The following is a 24,490-nucleotide window of genomic DNA, read 5'->3' as shown; positions in this document are numbered from 1 at the left end:
CTTTCCTCCTCCAGTGCCCCCTACTGGCCTGGCTGAACAGGGTCAGGAGGTGAAGGAGGAGTATCTGCAAGGCCCAGCCCATGTCAAGCTAAATGGGACTCTGGAGCTGTGATGCAAGAAGCCGATAACTGGCCAGCAACACACAGGCAAAGGCAATGCGCCAGAGTCGCACCCGCCAGCCGGCCTTTGTTCCTGAAAGAGGTAGTGATCTTTGCCTATGTGCTAAATACTTTATATGTCAGGTATTAACCAAGATACAGAGTCTGGGGCAAATGTTCAGCGTTGCCCACGTGGAAAAGGAATGGAGTAGGCAAGATACACTCAGTACAGAACACATGCCTGAGGTAAGGAAGCACAGCAGGAAACTAAGTCCAACAAACCAGCACCCACTGAGCACCTAGGTGTCCAGGGAACTCAGTCACAGCGACTTGAACCTGAAAACATGTCACTGTCTGTTCAGGGGCCTGCAATCTAGCAGAAGGCAGACACAGGTAAAACTCAACATGAGCAATGTGTGGATGCAGACAAGTTAGGAAAGAACAGACAAGGACAACCAATTTAGGCTAGGGAGTCAAGGAAGGCCTCTCAGTAGGATGACCAGGTGTGCAGTAAAGAGGATGACATTCCAGTAGGGAGTTAAGAGGAAAGCAGGACACAGGGCACTTTCTGGGAACTGCAAGGTGTTTGCTACAGTGAACACTGAAGGGAGAATGTTGCAGAGATGAAGTTGGAAAGATAGGCACAGGTCAGCACATGAAGAGAGCCTCATGGTCGACCTTGACAAGTTCTAGCCAGTATCTAACAACAGCATCTCCACTAGCAATTCCAAAAGTGTCAGCTTGAGCTGCGGGAAGAAAAAAGTATTCTCTAAAACAAAGCAACAGCTGTCTTCTCTGCGTGTGCATATTTGACTTTAGGACTGAGCCCCCAGCGCACATACGTGTGTGTGCATTAGATACAGCAACTTATAACAAGTGGAAACAGCTGTGACCGCACCAGAAATATTAATTTTAGCAAGACTGAGCTTCACCACAATGCCCCACCACTGCATTAAACAATTAACTGATTCATATACTTATCTTTAGATAAATTATCCTAAAACACAGTAGAGTTACTTAAATGTTTAAAACATAGAGATGGGGTCTTGCCACGTTGCCCAGGCTGGTGTAGAACTCTTGGCCTCAAGTGATCCTCCCACTTCAGCCTCCCAAAGTGTTGGGATTACAGGCATGAGCCACTGTGGCCGACCTGTAGAGCTACTTAAAAGGTAAAAATCAGCTATCACACCCACCATTTTTTTTTCTAGGCAAAACACAATATTCAAATCAAAATCTCCAAAATGTTCACAGAAGATTAACATAAGATATTCTTGAAAAAAAAAATGGTGCTGCAAATCTGCCTTTTGTCAAAATAAAACTTTCACATTACATTTGGCGGTCTGTCACTATTTCTTATTATTCATCTTCAAACTCGTTTTAAAGTTTCATTTTAAATCAACATTTTAAATCTTTGGTTTTGTTTTGTTTCGAGAGAGTCTTGCTCTGTCACCCAGGCTGGAGTGCAGTGGCGCGATCTCGGCTGAGTGCAACCTCCACCTCCTGGGTTCAAGCGATTCTCCTGCCTCAGCCTCCCAAGTAGCTGGGATTACAGACATGCGCCACTACACCCGGCTAATTTTTAGTTTTAGTAGTGATGGGGTTTTGCCACGTTGGCCAGGCTGGTCCAGAACTTCTGCCCTCAGGTGATCCGACTGCCTCAGCCTCCCAAAGTACAGGGATTATAGGCATGAGCCACCATGCCCAGCCAGTACTTTAATATCTTGATAGTCTTTTCTTTCAAATATTCTATTGCCTTGGACCCTTAATCCAAAGCTTAAGATGCCTGGAGAAGAATTTCTCCTTTCATTAAAGTTTCTGACACCCTCCCTTGTTTTCACTTTTCCTTCAACACATACTAAATACTGATTGCAAAATATTCTCCAGATGACGCCTTTGGACTACTTTCAAAGGTTCTCCACGTGGGACTAGTTTTAAATCCTTGTAGGGGCAGCATCATCTTTGTATCTAAGTGATGCTGATATTATTAGAAGGGTTGGTGAAGGAAGCATTGCCACAGTTTCTACTGCAGTATATTCACTACAAACACTTGCTATTTTTCTTTTCTACAAGGATCAGTCAAGTATACTAAAATCTGAGAAAATAACTATAGGAGATCAATGAACATGGGATGTGCCCATCAAGATGCCATAGAACAAAACTGGTGACAACTCTATTATTTTGACATTTGTGGAAGCTGGTGTTAGTTAAAACCACTCTTTTTGTTTTAAAAACTTAACCATTCACAATGAATGACCAAAAATAATCTCTGAGAACTAAGAATATAGGTCATGTCCTATTTCTGAAGTCACTTCCTGACAAGCAGCAGCTACTCAAGGAGCACCTAGATAAACATACTCAAGAGTTTAAAACCGCAACCACAGACTGCTTTAGGTCAAGCAATGCTTAATACAACCAAATTCTAATCTAAGTTCAGTTTCTTCCAGTTGGTTTTAACATGAGTTCAGCTACGGAATGGCTGAATGACAGTGGAACTCTCTTCCACACAAAAGGAAAAATCCCTCTTGCTAATGACCTCAGAAGTTCATTAGGAAGACTGCTCTCTATCTATATATAATGTCTCTTCTATTGAAGTTGTCATGCTAGGTGACAGCCTACATAACATGTGGGAAAGAAACTCATCATTCATTTCAATTCAACTTAACAAAGATTCAGAGTGTTACCAGAGGTAACTTCATTCTTCTCAGCTACATCAACATATAGAACAGTTGGGGGGAGAAATAAATCAAAGGTTGCAAAATCTGACATCCTAGAATAAAAGTGATTCCAACTAGGCAAAAATCCACAAGACATTAATAATTTGGGGAAACTGGCTGGGTACAGTAGCTCATGCCTATAATCCCAACAGTCTGGGAAGTTGAGTGAGGTGGGTCTATGTTTGAACCCATGAGTTCCAGACTACCCTGGGCAAAATAGCAAGACTCCATCTCTATTTAAATTTTAAAATATTTTTGGGAAAAATGAATGCACTCCATCAAATAATAATAAATAACAAAATGCTCAGGAGGGAAGAACTATTTATTGGTAAAAATAGAAAATATTTAGGCCTGACACAGTGGCTCACGCCTGTAATTCCAGTACTCTGGGAGACTGAGGTGGGCAGATCACCTGAGGTCGAGAGTTCAAGACCAGCCTGACTAACATGGAGAAACCCCGTTTCTACTAAAAATACAAAGTTAGCTGGGCGTGGTGGCGCATGCCTGTAATCCCAGCTACTCGGGAGGCTGACGCAGTAGGATTGCTTGAACCCGGGAGGCGGTGGCTGTGGTGAGCTGAGATCGCGCATTGCACTCCAGCCTGGGCAACAAGAGCGAAACTCCATCTCAAAAAAAAAAAAAAAAAATTGGATACTCTGGTTAGAACTGAACTTTTACTGTAATATTAGTTAAGTCACTATAGGCTTATTTAGAATTCTACTGTTGCTAGCATTACATTTCCCAAAATATGAAGTATAAATTACACAAGGGTCTTCAGACATTCATAAAAATATATCACAAAACGTTAAAAGATATGATTGTGTTGGTGCGGTGGCTCACACCTGTAACTCCAACACTTTTGGAAGCCAAAGCAGGAGGATTGCTTGACCTCAGGAGTTCCAGAACAGTGTGGACAACATAGCAAGACCCTGTCTCTACAAAAAATACAAAAATTAGCCTTAGGAGGCTAAGGTGGGAAGACTGAGCCCAAGGAGTTGAGGCTGCAGTGAAACACGATCGTACCACTGCACTCCAACCTGGGTGACAGAGCAAGACCCTGTCGAAGGGAAGGGGAGGGGAGGGGAGGGGAGGGGAGGGGAGGGGAGTGGAAGGGGGGGGAAAAGGAAAAGGAAGGAAAAGAGAAAAGAAAGAAAAAAAAAGATATGCTGATTGTGATCATGGGTTCTTGGGGATCCACAAAGGGACTGCAAGGATCTACCAGTCCCCTGAAATTGCAGGCCAAATTTTCCATCTATGTGTTTATTTTCCTGGGGAGGGTGTCTAGAGCTTCCATGAGACCCTCAAAGAACCATCCTTGGAGATTTTGAGGTCTAACACTGGGTGTGGGGGCAGTATAAAGCACAAGGTAATTGCACCATAAGTCTGTTCAAGGTCCTAAGAAGGGTGAGGTAAAGCTATAAGGAAATCAATGCCCAGATGACAACTGTGTGGCCCCTTGTCTGGCCTGGAACGGGGTGAGGAGAAGTCTCAGGAAAGAGAACTGATGAAGTGTCTTATAGAATCAAACCTTTGGAAAATAGCATTATTAATAGTTAATATTAATAAACTGACAGGTTTGATAGCCACTTAGAAAAGCCTGGGACTAGGTAAAAGTTTAAAAAAAAAAACAACTTAGGATCAAAAAAAAACAAAGCAAGTGTTAGTTTGGGAAAATCAAGAGTTGTATGAGAAAGGGAATGTACACTACAGAACTCTGCACTGAACAATATCATAAATTCGCAAAGGCAAAGTAAACACTAGCTGATGATGCAGGCAAAATGTGATGAAACTACACGAGGAGGATAAAGCAGCGGAGAAAATGGAAGAGTGAGAGTTACATCCTATTCAAAAGGCATCTCACATTGATCATCAGCAACTAGCAAAGCAGACTATTACTTTTAAATATGAAGGTAAGTACAGAAGAAATGAGTGAAAGAGTTGAGGGTGCTTTCTGCTGGGGTGAAAAAGTGGAGGATGGGGGAGGGAGTGACGGGACGATTAAAAAACCTTTTGATTCTATGATTTTTAGGGATGTGTGTGCAATATGGTGTTAAAAGCAACATTTTAAAAATAAAAAGATAATCATGGCAGTCAAAATGGAAAGAGGAAGTCAGTCATCATGGGGAAGCTTTCAGCCTGAGGATGTGGGCAGGCAAAGACTACCCATTCCTTCGGCCTTCCCAGCTGGCAGATGAGTTGCAAGCTTTTACCTATGAGCTTCTGCAAAGGCCTGGGAAACAACCCAACTTGTCAAAGAGGCGACTTTCAACACAAGGAAGTAGGGCCTGAACACGTGCAGTATAGACACTAAGTAAAGCAAGGGGGAGTACCATGCTGTTTGAAGTCATTGCCTTGGAGCTGACATGTTTTCATACAGAAGTCTTCCAGTCTTGTGAAACCCCACCTCCACAATGAGACGTAATCTAGAAGTACCCAAAACCCCAATGGAAACTACAGACCTAGGATGCAAGCTGTTTCAGGATGGTGGGAACATGTTAACACCAATGAATTCCACAAGCATGAGCTCACTGCTGAACTTCTTTGCTTGTGAAATGAGTTCTAGCATTAGAACAGCATTGGCGGGATGCAGAAGCTCACATTTGTAATCCCAGCACTTTGGGAGGCCAAGGCAGGCAGATCGTTTAAGCCCAGGAGTTCAGGACCAGCCTAGGCAACATAGCAAGACCCCATCTCAACAACAACAAAAAAGAAAAATTAGCTGGGTGTGGTGGTACGTGCATGTAATCCCAGCTACTTGGGAGACTGGGGTAGGAGGATCACTTGAGCCCTGGAGGGTTGAGGCTGCAATGAGTCATGATCATGCCACTGCACTCCAGCCAGTATGACAGAGACCCCCCTCTCCCCATCCTGCTCCCCCCACCCCCAAAAATCATCACGCAAAATAAGACAACTGAGTGTTAAAATCACCCAGAAATAAGGCAAAATGGAAATTTATTGGGTTATAAGGTTTTTATTTCTACATATACACAGATAGACAAAAAGGGAAAGAGGAGATGTCAGTTTCTTTTCTGGTAGTAAACTAAAATAGGAATTTATAGAATGGATCTTTGTATAAATGACAGCAGGTAACATTCTATATAAATAACAGCTTCAGCTACTATTCTTCAAGACTTTAGCAACTGTTTTGTAAGCAAATGATTTATTTATTTATTTATTTATTTATTTATTTATTTGAGATGGAGTTTCGCTCTTGTTGCCCCAGGCTGGAGTGCAATGCTGCAATCTTGGCTCATGCAACCTCTGTCTCCTGGGTTCAAGGCATTCTCCTGCCTCGGCCTCCCAAGTAGCTGGGATTACATGCACCTGCCACCACACCTGGCTAATTTTTGTATTTCTAGTAGAGACAGAGTTTCACCGTGTTGGCCAGGCTGGTCTCTCAAACTCCTAACCTCAGGTGACCTGCTCGCTTCAGCCTCCCCAAACGCTGGGATTACAGGTGTGAGCCACTGTGCCTGGCCAGCAAATGATTTATTTATTTTCCACTATAGTTTGTTAAATATAAGTTTTGGGTTTTTGTTGTTGTGTTGTTTTGTTTTTTGTGGGTTTGAGACGGAGTCTCAGTCCAATGGCGCAATCTTGGCTCACTGCAATCTCTGCCCCCCAGGATCAAGTGATTCCCCTGCCTCAGCCTCCTGAGTAGCTGGGACTACAGGCACACACCACCATAGCCAGCTAATTTTTTGTATTTTAGTAGAGACGGGGTTTCACCATGTTGGCCAGGATGGTCTCGGATGGCCCGGCCAAATGTAAATTTTAATTCAGATATTACGTAAGGGCGGGCGCGGTGGCTCACGCCTGTAATCCTAACACTTTGGGAGGCAGAGCCGGGAGAATTGCTTGAGGTCAAAAGGTAGAGACCAGCCTGGCCAAGATAATGAAACCTTGTCTCTAAATACAAAATATAAAATTTAGCCAAGTGTGATGGCATATGCCTGTAGTCCCAGCTACTGAGGAGGCTGAGGCATGGGAATTGCTTGAACCCAGGAGGTGGAGGTTGCAGTAAGCCAAGTTTGCACCACCACACTCCAGCCTGGGTGAGAGCGTGAGACTCTGTCTTTAAAAAAAAAAAGATATTATATAAGGGAGCACTAAAACTTCTGCAGGAAAAAGATATCCTTACAAAAACCCCAAAGATTAGGCCAGGCGCGGTGGCTCACGCCTGTAGTCCCAGCACTTTGGGAGGCTGAGGCGGGCAGATCACAAGGTCAGGAGTTAGAAACCAGCCTGGCCAATATGGTGAAACTCCGTCTCTACTAAAAATACAAAAATTAGCTAGGCGTGGTGGCGGGCGCCTGTAGTCCCAACTACTCTGGAGGCTGAGGCAGGAGAAATGCTTGAACCCAAGAGGCGGAGCTTGTAGTGAGCTGAGATCGCGCCAGTGCACTCCAGCCTGGGCAACAGAGCAAGACTCTGTCTCAAAAACAAAAACAAAAACAACAACAAAAAAACAAAGATTAGGTACTCCTGTTTGCCGGCCCTCCTGCAGGAGGGAATAGTTCAATTCAGATCTATCCAAGCCAAAAGCAGGGGCTACTGAACAATCTGGAATGTTTCAGATAGCTGTCCTACAGTTGCCTAGAAAACTCAGCCTAAATTTCTAGTAAGGCTGGGGTTGGTAAACTATGTGGGCCAAATAGGGCCTGTCACCATTTTATTGTATGGCCTGGGAGCTAAGAAGTTTTTAAATGTCATTTCATGGTTGAAGGAAAAAAAAATTCAAAAGAAAAATGTTTTGCGACATGTGAAAATCATATGAAATTCAAAATTCAGTGTTTGTAAGTAAAGCTTTATCGGGACTTAGCCACATTCATTCACATATACTGTCTACAGCTGCTTTCCAGCTTCATCAGAAAGTCAAATACTTGCGATAGAGACTATATGGCCCCCAAAACCTGAAATATAAGTTTGCCTTTGCCTGCACTAAGGAAAAGCGCTGCCCTTAATTGTAACCTTGGAAGATGTGATGTCAGATGAGAAAGTACAGTCTCCAAGCAGTCTCATTATTTAAGGGCACTTAAGTCTTCCAAAGGTCCATTTCAATTAATCCCAAGTAGCCAAAATATGTTTTCTTTTCCACCATGTAAAACCCCCAATCACCTATAATGCATCTTGTTTAAAATGTGCAGTGTTTACATCAAATATTTATCTTAAATTGGTCACGCCACATTTGCCTGTTTTGATGTGAGATTCCTTTACTTAAGCCAAACAGGGAAGGGGAGATAAGTGAATTATGAACCTCTGTGAGTAACTGGAATAACTCACAGAGTTATTTGGGCATTTGGGATCGAATAATCAGAAATACAAAGTCTGGGCTTATCTTTAAGATATCTGGTCGCAGTGGCTCACGCCTGTAATCCCAGCACTTTGGGAGGCTGAGGCAGGTGGATCACCTGAGGTCAGAAGTTCAAGACCAGCCTAGCCAACATGGTGAAACCCCACCTCTACTAAAACTACAAAAATTAGCTGGGCGTGATGGCAGGCGCCTGTAATCCCAGCTACTCGGGAGGCTGAGGCAGGAGAATCACTTGAACCCAGGAGGTGGAGGTTGCAGTAAGCCAAGATCGTGCCATTGCACTCCAGCCCGGGTGACAAGAGTGAAACTCCATCTCAAAAAAAAGAGAAAGATATCTAGAATAATTTTTCCAAACTTTTTAAATGCCCCACCTATGATATATACTATAAGTAAACACAGACACACAACTCTGTACCTTTTATTCTAAAGTATACATTTTCGTACATCTTAACATCTCAGAATTTTGGCTGTGCCGCCCCGTCTGGGAAGTGAGGAGCGCCTCTGCCCAGCCACCCTGACTGGGAAGTGAGGAGCCCCTCTGCCCGGCTGCTGCCCCATCTGGGATGTGAGGAGCACCTCTACCCAGCTCCCCACTGTCTGGGAAGTGAGGAGTGCCTCTGCCCAGCCGCCGCCCCATCTGGGATGTAAGGAGCGCCTCTACCCAGCTCCCCACCGTCTGGGAAGTGAGGAGCACCTCTGCTTGGCCACCAACTGTCTAGAAGTGATGAGGGCCTCCGCCCGGCTGCCACCCCATCTGGGATGTGAGAAGCGCCTCTGCCCAGCTACCCACCGTCTGGGAAGTGAGGAGCGCCTCTGCCCGGCCGCCCCACCATCTGGGAAGTGAGGAGCGCCTCTGCCCGGCCGCCCCACCGTCTGGGAAGTGAGGAGCACCTCTGCCCGGCCGCTGTGCAACCTTCTAAGTGTGAAGTGACAGCCTTGTGTGTGATCTTTTCTGTCTTCCCCAAGTTTGCATTTTCAACATTAAAGTTTACCTTTTAATTTTAAAAAATAATAATAATTTTGGCTGTGCCTTGTAACAGTACCTCACAGTAAGAGGTACCTAAAATAATAGTGCTATTGACAAGTGATAACATCTTGTCTTCAGTGAACCTAAGACATCGGGAGATGAGAATATAAACACATTTTTGGGAGTTCTAATGAGAAACTCTCCTCTCACCTAGAGCAAGGAATTGTTTCCAAAGGCAAACAAGATAGAGGTAGATTTTTATCCTCAATTTACTGCAAAACTACTCTGTTTTCTTCACTTCATAATAGGAGGGAGCCATTATTATCCTTAATTCTCAGCAAAGGAGCTATCTGAATTATTTGATACAGATTGTACTCAAAATACAGAATTCACACCGCAAATATTTTCAGTTGGGTCCAAAAATTATAAAATACCAATACAGTGGCCCAAACTGAAAGTTAAAATGGTTCTACACACTGAAGTATAATAGTTAAGTAAATACTGGATATTTAAATATTGAGGAAATGAAATAAGCAGTGTGCTATCACCTCGGTAATCCTATCAAAGGCATCTCAGCAGCTGCCTCTGCATGTTCCTGAAGCCTGAATGTGCTACGCCACCTACTGTACACATCTCCTTCACGACAACAACCGTTCCAGGGGGATACAATCCCACCATGCCCAGCTGCTGCCACAGAACATGGGCTGAAAAAGGAGGGATGCAGGGACTGCTCATGACCTTGGATCTCAGACTCCCATTTCACCTGCCTCCCCTACTCCACATCCTTCCCTGCCACCTCCCTTGCAATAATGGAAAGGGAAATACATTCCCAGAAACCTTTCCTACAATGTAAAAATATAAAATTCCTTGCCTTATTTGTCCCTAGAGTAAAATCAATATGGACTCTGAGGCACGTTATTAAATAAGTTGTGTGTGTGTTTTATAGTAAAATGGTTCACAACGAAAACTAGGTTTGTTTGGAGCTTTAAGAACTTTAGGTTTCAAACATCCATGTGTTGATCTGACTGCTCTAGATGTCCTCTCAAACACACTCTGAGATCCCCCAGATGCAAAGCCTCCTAACGTTTACAAGTGCTCGTGTAGTCTTCTCGAATGTTGCTCTGGGATGAAACAACTGGAAAGTTATATGGCTCGGAGATAATTTCCAGCAGACCGGGACATTTAAAATTTTATTGTTGGTGGCCGGGCGCAGTGGTTCACGCCTGTAATCCCAGCACTTTGGGAGGCCGAGGCAGGCGGATCACCTGAGGTCAGGAGTTCGAGATCGGCCTGGGCAACATGGTGAAACCCCGTCTCTACTAAAAATACAAAATTAGCCAGGCATGGTAACACATGCCTGTAATCCCAGCTACTCGGGAGGCTGAGGCAGGAGAATCGCTTGAACTGGGAGGTGGAGGATGCAGTGAGCCGAGATCGCGCCATTGCACTCCAGCCTGGGCAACAAGAGTAAAACTCCATCTCACCAAAAACAAAACAAAACAAAAAAAATTGTTGGAAGAATATTATGCAGAAGGAAAGAAATAGGAGCCGAGTTAATGTCACATACTGTCAGCCTGAACCTCAGAATTACAGCCAAGGAAAAGGTTTTGGGAGAAAAATCTCAGGAGCATGTAGTCCAATCTCACCCATGATGCTTTGATATTGGAACCAACAGGTAAGTCTATCTGAAGCTGTATGCGCATATGACAACATCGGGAGAATGCAGGGACTGGGGTATGGGAAGCAGGACTGTGTAGCACAACTATATAGATAAGCAGCTGCCCTGGTATGCAAAATTTACTTTTACCCTTTCTTTTTCTTCCGCCCCTTTTCTGAGTTACCCACCCCTCCCTTCCACTGTGTGAAAAGGTAAAAACTAGCAAACGAACAACAAACCAGAAAATCCCACTGCTTTTAAAGTTTCTGACTGTACTCGAGAAGAACTGTCTGAATGAAAAAGTGTCCACATGTTTCACTCCTCATCCTGGGCAATACAGCCAGACACGGCGGTGAGAACACTTGGCCCCAGCTGCAGTCCCAACTGGACAACAGTTAGGAGGAGGTGAGTGGGTCAGAACAGCCTGCAGCCAGGCTGATCAGGTTGTAGTCCCCCTCCTGCCACTCGACTAGCAGGGTGACCTCGGGAAGTTACCCTCTTGGTGCCTCAGTTTCCTCTTTTGCAACACAGGAATTAATAGGACCTAGTACGTGAAGGACTCTTGTGTGATTGAGTTAATCTATGTAAAGCACTCGGCACAAGGCCTGATGGGCGGCAACTGCCACATGTCTGCGGAGAAACCTATGATACAAACACAAGAGTAGGGAGGTCTAAGAGATGCAGAGAGGAGTACAGCATCAATGCAGTCACTCAACCCTCACTGGATGGAACTGGTGGGCACACTGTTGAGGAAATGAGGGCATCAAATGATGGCTGGGCCAGATGACGTTCAAGGTGTTACCCTACCCTGCAAGTGTGTGATTGTATATGTTAAGTGACAGTCACACACAAGAAAGCTCCTGTCATTCCAGTTCCCTCAATGATCTACTATTAACTACCTCTGACAGCTCTCCCATCTGCCTGGCTCACTCCCAGCACTCCTGCCCTGGGCCAGACCTTCACTGCCTCTAACCCTGCCTCTGGAAACAGTCTCTTAGTGCTCTCTCAGCTTATTTGCAATTTTACCAAATCTATTCCATATCAACCTGTCACTTTTGTTTTGGGCTTTTAAAATCAAAAGAAAAGAAAATGCTTGGAGAGATTATATAAATTACTAAATTATAAGGGAAAAGTGATACCTAAAATTGAGATATTAGTAATAAGATCTCTCTTCTAAACTTAGTAGGCAAGAAGCTTGAAAGCCAATAATGACAGGCTAGAGTTTCAAACTCTTCCAGTCCAATTCCTGAAGAATCTTCTTTCTCTCCCCTTCTACCCTCACCGTCCCCTGGGCCCTCTGGTTCATTTACGCAGATGACAGTGGTAAAAACTGTTTCGTTGTGAGCTGCTTTTAATGTACCTGAATTTGGTGCGTACAGGACTGAAAAGGATGCTAAATTAATAGCCAACCTAGTAACTACGCTTAGGCAAAGCCTTCTTCAAACCATTTTGGAAAGTTAATTATGACTTTTATGAAGGGAAAAAAAAAACAGAACTCATTATGCAGTCAAGAACTTGTTTCTAACCATATCCAAACTATACTCGGAAGTAATAACCTGCTTTTAAAAGTGGCAGGAGCACTTCGGGTGGCCAAGGCAGGTGGATCACCTGAGGTCAGGAGTTTCAGACCAGCCTGGCCAACGTGGTGAAACCCTGTCTCTAATAAACATACAAAAATTAGCCAGGCATAGTGGCATGTGCCTGTAGTCCCAGCTACTCAGGAGGCTGAGACAGGAGAATAACGTGAACCTGGGAAGCAGAGGCTGCAGTGAGCCAAGATCACACCCACGCACTCCACAGCCTGGGCGACAGAGACTCTGTCTCCAAAAAAAAAAAAAAAAGTGGCAGGAGGAAAAACATCAAATTTTTCATGCACAATTTTTGAAAGTCATTGCAACCACTACTAAATCTGACTCCACTCCCATTCCCCCTTAGTCAGGCAATACCTGTTTTGTGGCTTTTTGACAACCCAAGGTCAGCCTTAATTAATCTCAGGTGCTTCAAAGAGAATTTATTGAGAAAAGGACACTGAGAAGATAATCTGGCCTTTGCCCCAGTCATCACTCACCTTATATGTTATATATATATATTTTTTTTTCTCTTTATACTTATTTTCTGAAACCAAAGAAGCCACACTCACCTTTCTTCAATTGCGTTTTTCAAGCAGTTAGATGCAAAAGAAGGCCCCCACATAGCAAAATACTTTTTGAAGTTAAAACAATAAGTTTGCATATAATGTTAATCTGGATAAGAGCCTACAATATGACATGGCATAATAAATACTATGGAGTTAACAATTTTCCTGTTTTTCCCTAAATAGGAATTTTCCTACATTAGCCAAGACTATGATTCTTTTATCTGCAATCAGAATTCTTATATACCATTTTGGCTAAATATCAACCTCACTGCTTTTTGAGTGCCACAACTCCAGAGGAATCAGGTTCCCTACATTTAGATTTAACATAATACTGGCTCTTATCACCATCCGGGCCTTTATTAGTATTAGTAAACAAGGTCACATAGGTTTAAGAAATACTTTTTAAAACCTTAATTTATGGCCGGGCACAGTAGCTCGCGCCTGTAATCCCAGCACTTTGGGAGGCCAAGGCAGGTGGATCACCTGAGGTCAGGAGTTCGAGACCAGCCTGATCAATATGGTGAAACCCTGTCTCTACTGAAAATACAAAAATTAGCCAGGCATGGTGGCATGTGCCTGTAGTCCCAGCTACTCAGGAGGCTGAGGGAGGAGAATCCCTTGAACCCAGGGGGTGGAGGTTGCAGTGAGCTGATGTATCACTCCTATGTATTCCAGCCTGACAGAGCGAGACTCAAAAAACAAAACAAAACAAAACTTAATTTGAATAAAGCTTAATGTGAAAGAAACCTATTACCATAATCTACATCGGCAGTCCCTGGTTTCATGGAAGACAACTTTGCTAAGGGGTTGATGAGGGGGTGAGGGGGCTGTGTGATGATGGTTTCGGGATGAAACTCTTCCACCCCAGATCAAGCATTAGATTCTCAAAAGGAGCATGCAGCCTAGATCCGTTGCATGTGCAGTTCACAATAGGGTCTGTGCTCCTATGAAAATGTAATGCTGTTGCTAATCTTGTAAGTGGTGCTCAGGTTGTAATGCTTGCTTGCCCGCGCCCGCTGCTCACCTCCTGCTGTGCAGCCCGGGGCTTGGGGACCCCTGATCTACAGGATTTGTATTTAAATCTTTTCCTCTTATAACCAAATTTTGGCAGCAGTGGAGAGTGTGGTATTACACAATATACACCCACCATGTGATTTTCATAACACTGCCCTAAAAGAAAGGGGGCTCCAAGGCACCACCAGCAGGCCCGCCCAAGGGAGCTGCAGACTCAAAAAAGGACACCTTGTTATATTTTAAATTTTCAAGGAAAATGTGCCAGCACTTGTTAGATACTGCCCCAATGACCACTATTAAGTCATTTGGACATGACTACTCAATAAAATCCACAGTTATGTTACTTATCTCAATGGCCTAAGGGTGCTGGGGGCGGGATGACTCTAAAGCATTATGAACAGAGTTTGTGACCTTCTGCGTTACGCATTCCTTTCAAAGTATGTGGTTTGGTTTAGCTGGGAAACTGGAGGAGAGATTAACCCAGGGAATGATCTCCAATATCTAGCAACTCTTCTCTATCCTCCCTCTGAGAAGAATTTTGGGAAAGAGCACATCTGGATAATAATATGTATACTGTTTTAGAGAAGAGGAGGAAAAACCACATTCATTTTCTACCAGCAAGAGCCCCCAGTATCTTTCCACAGAGGTCAACCTGAAACTATTCAGCCTGGGAGAAAAGCTATCTGGCCTAGTATCTGGAATAAGTGAAAGCAAGACATGACATGTTATTATGTAAATGTGGATTCCCAACAAAGATGTGAACAAAAGAGAAACATACATTATTACACATGGTGAAGTTCTTAACACAGCTATGGAGACCAGGGAAAATGACAGATCTAGATCATTCCAACCCCCATTAGAGTCTCAGAGGGAGGCTTCAGTAACTTTGGTTTTCTTAATTGATAATGGTAACATTAACTCCTTTAGTTCTAAACAATCTTTAAACATGCAGAGCCCTGCTTTAAAAAGCCGAAACCAAAACAAAAAGCCTGTCCTCTAACCCCAGAAATCCAGATTATGGTCTCCAGATGTCATTTCCTACAAAACATAGGCAGGGCTGCCTGGAGAAATGGCTCATTCCACATTTGGGGCAAGAAATGTACAAGATGAGCCTAGAGCATCTTGTCATACCAGACAATAAGAAAGCAATCAAAGACTACTAGGGTGGTCTCAGTAGCTCACACCTGTAGTCCCAGCTACTCAGGAGGCTGAGGCAGGAGGATTGCTTAAGTTTGAGGCCCAGGTGCATGATCACACCACTGCACTCCAGCCAGGGTAAAAGAGTGAGACCCTGTCTCTTCAAACACACACACATAAACACACACACACACACACACAACCAGGGACATGTCAAAAGACTCAGAAACCAACTTGAAGAGACTCCAAGTGGCCAAAGATAGCACAACTTGAGCATTAATTATATTAACTATTATATATCAGCTGTTCAGAGAAAGTTTATTTTTCTTCTTTGAAAGACTGAAAACAGGTACGGAGTAACAAATTTTATTTAGGCGTACTTATAAACTTTATCAAAATGGTTGTACTTTTCAACATAACATTAATAGCGCTCCCTTTTTTATTTTTTAAAGAGTCTTGCTGTGTCACCTAGGCTGGAGTGCAGTGGCACGATCACAGCTCACTGCAGCTTCCAGCTAAGTCCCAGGCTCAAGCAATCCTCCCACCTCAGCCTCCCAAGTAGCTAGAACTACAGGCACATGCCACCTGGATTTTTTTTTTTTTTCTGTAGAGACAGGGGTCTCACTATGTTGACCAGACTGGTCTCAAACTCCTGGCCTCCAGTGATCCTCCCAAAGCACTAGAATTACAGGCGTGAGCCACTGCGAGTTTTCATCGGTTCATTTATTACTTTAAAACAACCTTACTGGTCACCACTAGAGAATGAGGAATGAGTTCATTATTTTGAAAACTGACAAAGAGAACAAAACCACGTATATTTATCCATGTCACAAATACAATGGGTAGCCAAATAGTACATGAGGGAAAGCTTCTCTTTATACAAATATTCTAACTAATAAATGAAATAGGAATTATAGATCATATTGCAACCCTAATGATCAATAAATCTAGGTATTAAGTATCAATGGTTCTTGACTTCCAAAAAGATGGTTAACCAGACATTATTTGCTTCCTAATGGAAGAAAAAATCGTCACCTATGAAGTAGTCTTGCAAAACAAACAGGCAAATCTGAACACAAAAAGCCTCTAGATCCAAATAATTCGCTGGTAATGCAGAAGACTACATGAGAGGCATGCAATCAGAATCATCTAGACTGTGGGACAACCTAATTTCTTCAACAAAAAATTATAAAGACAAACTACATATTGACCCATATATCCTGTTTCAAATAAAGTGCTAGAAAATTATCCCTTTATGACACAACTGGAAACCTGAGCACTTACTGGATATTTTATGGGATTAGAAACTTATTATTTTAGGTAAAATAATAACTCTTTAAAAAATAACAATTAAAAAATAACAATACCATTTTGTTATTGAGTGATTAATTGATTGAGATGGAGTTTCGCTGCTATTTCCTGGGCTGGAATGCAATGGCGCAATCTCAGCTCACTGCAACCTCTGCCTCCCAGGTTCAAGTGAACCTCCCAGGTTCAAGCGATTCTCCTGCCCCAGCCTCCCAAGTAGCTGGGATTACAGGCATGTGCCACCACGCCCGGCTAACTTTTCTATTTTTAGGAGTAACGGGTTTTCACCGTGTTGGCCAGGCTGGTCTCAAACTCCCGACCTCAAGTGATCCACCCACCTCGGCCTCCCGAAGTGCTGGGATTACAGGTGTGAGCCACTGTGCCTGGCCCCATTTTGTTTTTGTAAATATCTTTTAACAAAATATTGTCAGAGAAGGTCAGGAGCGGTGGCTCACACCTGTAACCCCAGCACTTTGGGAGGCAGAGGTGGGTGGATCACTTGAGGTCAGGAGTTCGAGACCAGCCTGGCCAACATGGTGAAACCCCTTTGCTACTAAAAACAAAAAATCAGCCAGGCGTGGCGGTGCGCACCTGTAATCCCAGCTACTCAGAAGGCTGCGGCAGGAGAATCGCTTGAACCTGGGAGGCAGAGGTTGCAGTGAGCCAAGATCGCGCCAGTGCACTCCAGCCTTGATGACAGAGCAAGACTCTGTCTCAAAAAAATAAAATAAAATAAAAATAAAATAAAATAAAATAAAATAAAAATAAATAAATAAAAAATATCGTCAGAAAGCTGAGACTTCAACTGGTGGTCTACCCTGATATTTCGGAGTGGATTATATCAATACAACTATGTTAAGAGAAAAGATAAATCTACCTTTTCCAGGAATATAATTCTTTCAGAAGAAAATTTTAAAAAATGGCTCATTGGGAACTGTGGGAAAATAGTAACATTATCAGTACCTCAGTTTCCTCATCTTAAAAATGGCAAGTTGTTACAAAATGACAGAGACTGACCAACCGCTACCAAGCAATTTCCCGGCATGTATGTCAACACACCAGGAAACAAACGCAGCTGGCATTCGACCATGGCCCCCAAATGTAGCTACCACAAACTACTGCCCACCTGGTAGCCCTTCTGAAGAAAAGAGGCACACTGTTAGAAGAGGTGGGAACGTGCAGTTGAAAAGTGTAGCTATTTTGATAAATTTTATAACTAAGCCTAAATAAACAAACCTGTTATTCCATACCTTTGTGTCTTTCAAAGGGGAAAAATAGAAGTTTTCTCCAAAAAGCTAGTAGGATGCATTTGGGGGACTTACTCATGGTTCTTAAATTCTCTAAGCACCCTAATTTCTATAAAATTTCTACTGGAAAAAAACAACTAGAAGTATATTTGTTTTGGGGAAAGCTCTCAAGCTGTGTTTTTCCTCTGCTCTCATACCACAACAATCAAAGCAGAAGGCTCCTGTGACCAAAGGCGTGGGGGTTTCTCCCACCAACAAGCAGCAGGCACCAGCTGGGTCTAATAAAGGCTCTCCTTAAAACTGCCCTCCTTACAGCCAAAGCCAGAGTAATCCACTGCAAAGGGCACCAAAAAACATCTGACCCCACTGCCCAAGGAAACGTCTGCGCCCACAAAACAGCGAAAGAGGCAGCCTCAGCGCCTGCACACGTTCCAGTCTCCGCTCCAGACAGCCAATACTTGTCTTTCTCATCTATCACTCCCACCTATTCTTCTTCTGAAAACCTGTTCTACCAGTCCTTTCCAACTCAAGGCAAGTGGTTCTTAGACCATGGAAAATTCCTTCTCCCTGCCTCACAAGCCCACTCTATCCTTTCTTCCTTTCATGACCACTTCCATGTAGGACACAAACCTCTCACCTGTCTTTTAGAACCCCTCATTTATTTCCCATTATGGAAATACATTCTCAAAACAAGCACATCTCACTGTTCTATCTGCCACTCTACTACTCCCCAAGGCTTCCTAAAATCCCCTCCCTTTCCCACACACCAAGCCCGAGGATTTACCCCCACAAAAGATTGGCAAATAGATTTCACACCTATGTTCCGAGTCTGCAAATTCAAACCCTCCTAGTCTGGGTTGATACCTTTACCAGATGGGTTGAAGCCTTTCCTACAGGGACAGAAAAAGCCACTGCAGGCATTTCTTGCCTAACTGACATAATTCCTCAATTTGGTCTTCCTACCTCCGTACAATCTGGTAACAGTCCAGCCTTCATTAGTCAGATCACCCAAGCAGTTTCCCAAGCCCTCAGTATTCAGTGGAATCTCCATGACCCTTATCATCCTCAATCCTCAGGAAAAGTAGAAAAGGCCAACAGTCGTTTAAAAACACATCTTACCAAACTCACCCTCCAACGCAAAAAAGACTGGACAATTCTTCTACCCTTTGCTCTCCTCCAAATTTGAGCCACCCTTCAAGAACCCACAGGGTATAGCCCCTTTGATCTCCTATATGGCCGCACATTTTTACATGGGCCCAACCTCATTCCAGACACCAGCCCTCTTGGTAACTATCTTCCAGTCCTTCAACAAGCTAGACATGAAATCCGCTGAGCTGCCAATTTCCTTTTACCCACTCCAGATACCCAGCCATATAAAGACATCCTAGCCCGACGGTCAGTTCTTGTTAAGAACTAACCCCTCAAACTCTACAACCTCGGTGGACAGGAACCCTACCAGGTTGTTTACAGCACTCCAACCACGGTCCGTCTACAGAACCTTCCCCACTGGGTTCATCGCTCCAGGATAAAACTGTGCCCATCTGACCACCAGCCTAACTCCTCTACCTCCTTCTGGAAGTCGCAAGTACTCTCCCCCACTTCTCTTCAACTTACTCGCATTCCTGAAAAAGAACAACAGCCCTTTGTATCTTTCATTTACAATAGGCCTTTACATAGCCACCCCACTACTTAATGTCTACCTAGGTCCCTAATCACCATTCTTGCCTACTTCTAAATGCCCTGCTTTTGTCTACATTGCCGGCTCACGCTTTTCCTCTGGACCATTGTAACTGACATCTCCTGGTCTCACCCTCAAGGTGCCACCCTTAACTCTCTCCTAGAGTGGATAGGTGACCTTGTGTGGCAAGGCACTCTCCAATTCTTCCACCTCGATGAAGTTCTTTTCTACTCACTTTGGGTCTCACTCCCGTTCTCCTGCTACCCTCTACCCCTCCCTAATTATCTCCAACATACCATCAACCTCACCCACCCACTCTCTCCTCACCGTCTCTAATCCTTTCTTAGCAAAAAATTGTTGGCTATGCATTTCCCTCTCTTCCTCCTACTACACAGCTGTCCCTGCCCTACTAGCTGACTAGGCAACCTCCCCCATCTCCTTACACCTCCAAACCTCTTTCAGTGACCCCCACACCTTTACCCTCCCGAACATCTTCTTCACTTTCTGGAAAATTCAGCAGGGGCTGGGCGCGGTGGCTCATGCCTGTAATCCCAGCACATTAGGAGGCCGAGGCAGGTGGATCACGAGGTCAGGAGTTCAAGACCAGCCTGGCCAACATGGTGAAACCCCATCTCTACCAAAAATACAAAAATTAGCTGGGAATGGTGGTGCGTGCCTATAATCCCAGCTACTCAGGAGGCTGAGGCAGGAGAATTGCTTGAACCAGGACCTGGGAGGTAGAGGCAGCAGTGAGCGAGGTTGTGCCACTGCATTCCAGCTTGGGCTACAGAGCAAGACTCTTGTCTCAAAAAAAAAAAAGAAGAAAGAAAAGAAAAATTCAGCAAAAACTCCCCCAATATCTCATACTAACAGGCTGCTGCTCTTCTCCCTACCTACCTACGAGGTCTATCTCCCTACATCAATTCCACACCCCCTGTTCTTGGACACCTCGCTACACAGACAACTATCCCCATTGCTGCTCCCTTATGCATCTCCCAACAATTACCTACTGGAATTCCCTTAGGTAACCTCCCGTCTTCCTTATGTTCCTTTACTCTTCACCTCCAAAGCCCCAACACTCACATCAACCAGAAAATTGGAGCATTCCAGTCCCACTCTCATCACAAACAGTCTTTAAAACATTGGTAGCAACTTTTGTCTAGAAAGACGCTTACCGCTCACTTGCTCGATCTTTGGCTACCCTCCCCCGTTCAACAGATTCCCCTCCAAGTCCTTCTTCTTGCCTGCTTATACCTAGTCTTATAAATAACAGTGAATGGCTACTTGTAGATACCAAGCGCTTTCTTATACACCATGAAAATAGAACCTCTCCCTCCACGCAGCTCCCCTACCAAACCCCGCTACAACCTCTAACAGCTGCTACCCTTGCTGGATCCCTAGGGGTCTGGGTGCAGGACCCCACTTCCAGAACACACTCTTACCTTTTTACTCTGCATTTCCAGTTCTGCCTGCCTCAAGGACTCTTTTTCCTCTGCAGCTCTTCCACCTACATGTGCCTCCCTGCTAACCGGACAGGCACCTGCACTTTAAATCTTCCTTACTCCCAAAACCCAGTTTGCAAACGGAAGCGAGCAACTCCCCATTCCCCTTATAACTCCAACAAGACAAAAAAGAGTCATTCGATGAATTCCCTTGCTTATAGGATTAGGAGTTTCCACTGCCGCAATCGGAACAGGAGTAGCAGGCCTTGCAACTTCTATCACCACATTTCGCAGTCTCTCCAATGACTTCTCCGCTAGCCTTACCGATATAACTCACTTTCTGTCCTCCAATCCCAAGTCGATTCCTTAGCCGCAGTTGTCCTCCAAAATCGCTGAGGCCTCAATCTGCTTACTGCTGAAAAAGGAGGACTCTGCCTATTCTTAAATGAAGAATGCTGCTTTTACGTAAATCAATCAGGCCTTGTATACGACAATATCAAAAAACTTAAAGACAGAGCTCAAAAACTCACTAATCAGGCAGATAGTTATACTGGACCTACTTGGCCATTCTCTAGCTTAGCTTCATGGCTCCTCCCACTAACAGGCCCTTTAGCACTCATCCTTCTCCTTCTCTTATTCGGACCTTGTCTTTTCAGGCTAATCTCTCTGTTCATACAAAACAGCATCCAAGCTATTACTAATCACTAAATTCGACATATGCTCCTTTTAACAACTCGACAATGTCACCCCCTGCCCCAGGGTCTCCCTTCAATTTAACCTTTCTCTCTCACTTTAGGTACCCACGCCACCCCTAATCCCGCTTGAAGCAGCGCTGAGAAAAATCTCCCATCATCCCTCCATACCACCCCCAAAATTTACACCATAAATTTTCTCCATACTTCACTACTCTTTCTCATTTTTGTTTTTCCATTATTAATATAAAAAGCCAGGAATGTGAGGTCTTCTGAGAAAGCTGCACCATGGTCAAGCCATTGTAACCTCTGTGACCCACACGTATACATCCAGAAGGCCTCCTGGAGCCAGAAAGTCTAGGACAACAGGAAAACCACAAAAGAAGAAAAACAGCTAGCTGCCGTCTTAGCTTATTAGCCAACCTTGCAACATTCTACCATTGTAACAGACTCTACCCTAACTGATCGATCAACCTTGTGACATTGTGCCCTGTGACCCTTCCCGCCTGTGACCCCTTCCCCTGCCCGCAATAAACGGCCCCTAACTGTAACTTTCCACTGCTTACCCCTAACCTATAAAACTAGCTCCAATCCCACCACCCTTCGCTGACTCTCTTTTTCGGACTCAGCCCGCTCGCACCTGAGTGAATAAACAGCCTTGTTGCTCACACTTAGCCTTTTCAGGTTGTCTCTTCGCTTAGATGCGCACATAATACTATCTACCTGGAAACAGTGTCAGATCCCACAGGTTAAGGGCTCAATCCCCAAAAGTGTCCCCTCCCCACTCCAACACTCTGCAAGTCTGGGCCTCAGGAGCTTCTGACCAACCAGCCTTCAAGTTGAGGTTCCCATAACATTTTGGACTCAGAAACACTTACTGAGGTTTACTGGCTTATTATAAGGATACAAGGGATACAGATGAAGAGATTCATAGATATGGGGGAAGGAACATGGAGCTTCCAAGCCCTTCCTGGGTGTACCACCCTCAAGGAACCTCCAGGAGTTCAGCTATCCCTAAGGAAGCTTCAGCATTCCTAAGGACAGTCAGCATTCCTTCCCTCAGGGTACGAGGCTGGACCCTCTTTAGGGAAGGTCTTAAGACCCACAGTTAGAAAGGAAGGGGGAAGATTAGAATCCTGCCTTAGTGCAGAAGTAAGTCAGAGATTCCCTAAGACCTGACACACCTAGGGTAATAACCAAAGACTAACAATGGCTATGAAGAGTTAAGAGCCAGGAACTGTGGATGAAAACCTATGTATCGCCTCCTCTTTCATAACACCACCATATCAAAACAAGCACATGCAATATGGGTATTATTCTCTGCTCTGAGATACTTCTAAAAGATGGTGGCTTTATAAGCCCTATGTGCCATGAAATTTACAAAGAGGTTCTGATGTATCTTGTGTAACAACTTTACTGGTTCTTCAAACTTAAAAATCTCAAACCTTGCTTACATTTTTCATTAGTTCAGTAGAACACTAATTATGGACTTTTTATTTGTTTTAAGAAAAAGAAAAAATTTATAGATGGCTAAACAACAACTTGCCTTCTGCAAAAGTTAATGGGTAAAACAGGCCGGGCACAGTGGCTCACATCTGTAATCCTGGCACTTTGGGAGGCCAAGGCAGGTGGATCACCTGAAGTCAGGAGTTCGAGACCAATCTGGCCAACATGGCAACACCCTATCTCTACTGAAAATACAAAAATTAGCCGGGCGTGGTGGTGGGCACCTATAATCCCAGCTACTCGGCAGGCTGAGGCAGGAGAATCACTTGAACCCAGGGGGTGGAGGCTGCAGTGAGACGAGATCACACCACTTCATTCCAGCCTGGGCGAACAAAAAAAGTTAATGGGTAAAACAAATGAAAAAATACCCAACAACTCAGAGAAAAGGAAAAAAATTCTTAAGCCAGTAATTTTATCAAAATCACGAAAATTTTGAATAGATATTTCTTTCAAAGAGAGTTACAGACCCAGGAGTGATATTTTAAAGGGGTTGAGCAGAACACGTGATTACTGTAATCAATACACAGAATTCTGCAGACTCCCAAAACGAGCCTCCTCAGCACCTGGGTATGCCAGGTTTTGTGCATCTGGTCATGGCTGTCTATTAAACCACTGCTCATGCATATTTGATTGAACTCAAGAAATGTGTGGTGAGCATTTAGGAAAACTGTCAGTGTATAACATGCTTTAGCTATCACACAGAGTTCTCAGTAATACAGTAGCCTACACCCATATATTTAATACAAAGTCTGTAACTGTTTTAGTCTCATTTTATACACAAGAAAGTAAAGTAAGGAACAGGCTGGATTATTTCGGTAAGGTCAGAGTGAGCAAGTCACCAGAAAAAAACAAGCAAACTAAAAAACCAAAAACACAAAACTCTACTCTAGTATAAATTTGACGTCCTACCATTTATGTGTTCCTTTCACCCGTCCAGTCCAATCCTATCCGTTTTGACCCACCCATCCTGTCCCATGCCACACAGTTACATGTCATCCATCCCCATCGTTTTCACTAACCATGCATGGAGCACTTCCTGGTACTGTGCATTACATCAGGCAGTGACGACAGAGACACCATGAGGACTTATACCTTCATCTTACCATGAGCCAGGAAATTTCAAGATAATTTACATAAAGTGCATATGTTTTCATGGACTCTTCCAGTGAAGACATGTTTTCAAAAATCTTTTATGACAGGTTTGCAATTTTAAAGTATGAGCAACTAGTAGCAGAACAGAGATCATCTAAATTATTTTACTAAGAATACATACATAAGATAAATTACAAAGACATAGTAACTTTGCAGTTCTTTTTTACCTACCTGTAAACATCGCATCTTGGTTTAACTTCACATATAAAGTGAGTTAATATAATGTCATACAATGCAGAAGCGATATCTAGAATTATACACCATGGTTTAACAATGCAGGTTTAAGATAAATAATTACAGTAAGGTACATATATTATCTATCTGTAATACATTTTAAAATAAACCAGAGTTGAGCCATCTACATTTTAATATCCTGTAAGAAAAACAAAATACATTTAACTTCATAGTTAAATGAGTATTTTGATAA

The 24,490-nt window shown here is 43.7% G+C and overlaps 1 protein-coding gene across 1 annotated transcript in view; it reads right to left on the bottom strand.

Moving 5' to 3' along the window:
- Positions 1-24,490, bottom strand: part of LAPTM4B (lysosomal protein transmembrane 4 beta) — a 77,226-nt gene that overhangs the window by 3,227 nt on the left and 49,509 nt on the right. The gene's annotated exons all lie outside the window — the stretch shown is intronic.

This window comes from Homo sapiens, chromosome 8 (assembly GCF_000001405.40).
Source record: "Homo sapiens chromosome 8, GRCh38.p14 Primary Assembly".
Taxonomy (NCBI): Eukaryota; Metazoa; Chordata; class Mammalia; order Primates; family Hominidae; genus Homo; species Homo sapiens.
The sequence above is the reverse complement of the archived record's forward strand: the minus strand, read 5'-3'. Positions and strand labels throughout refer to the sequence as shown.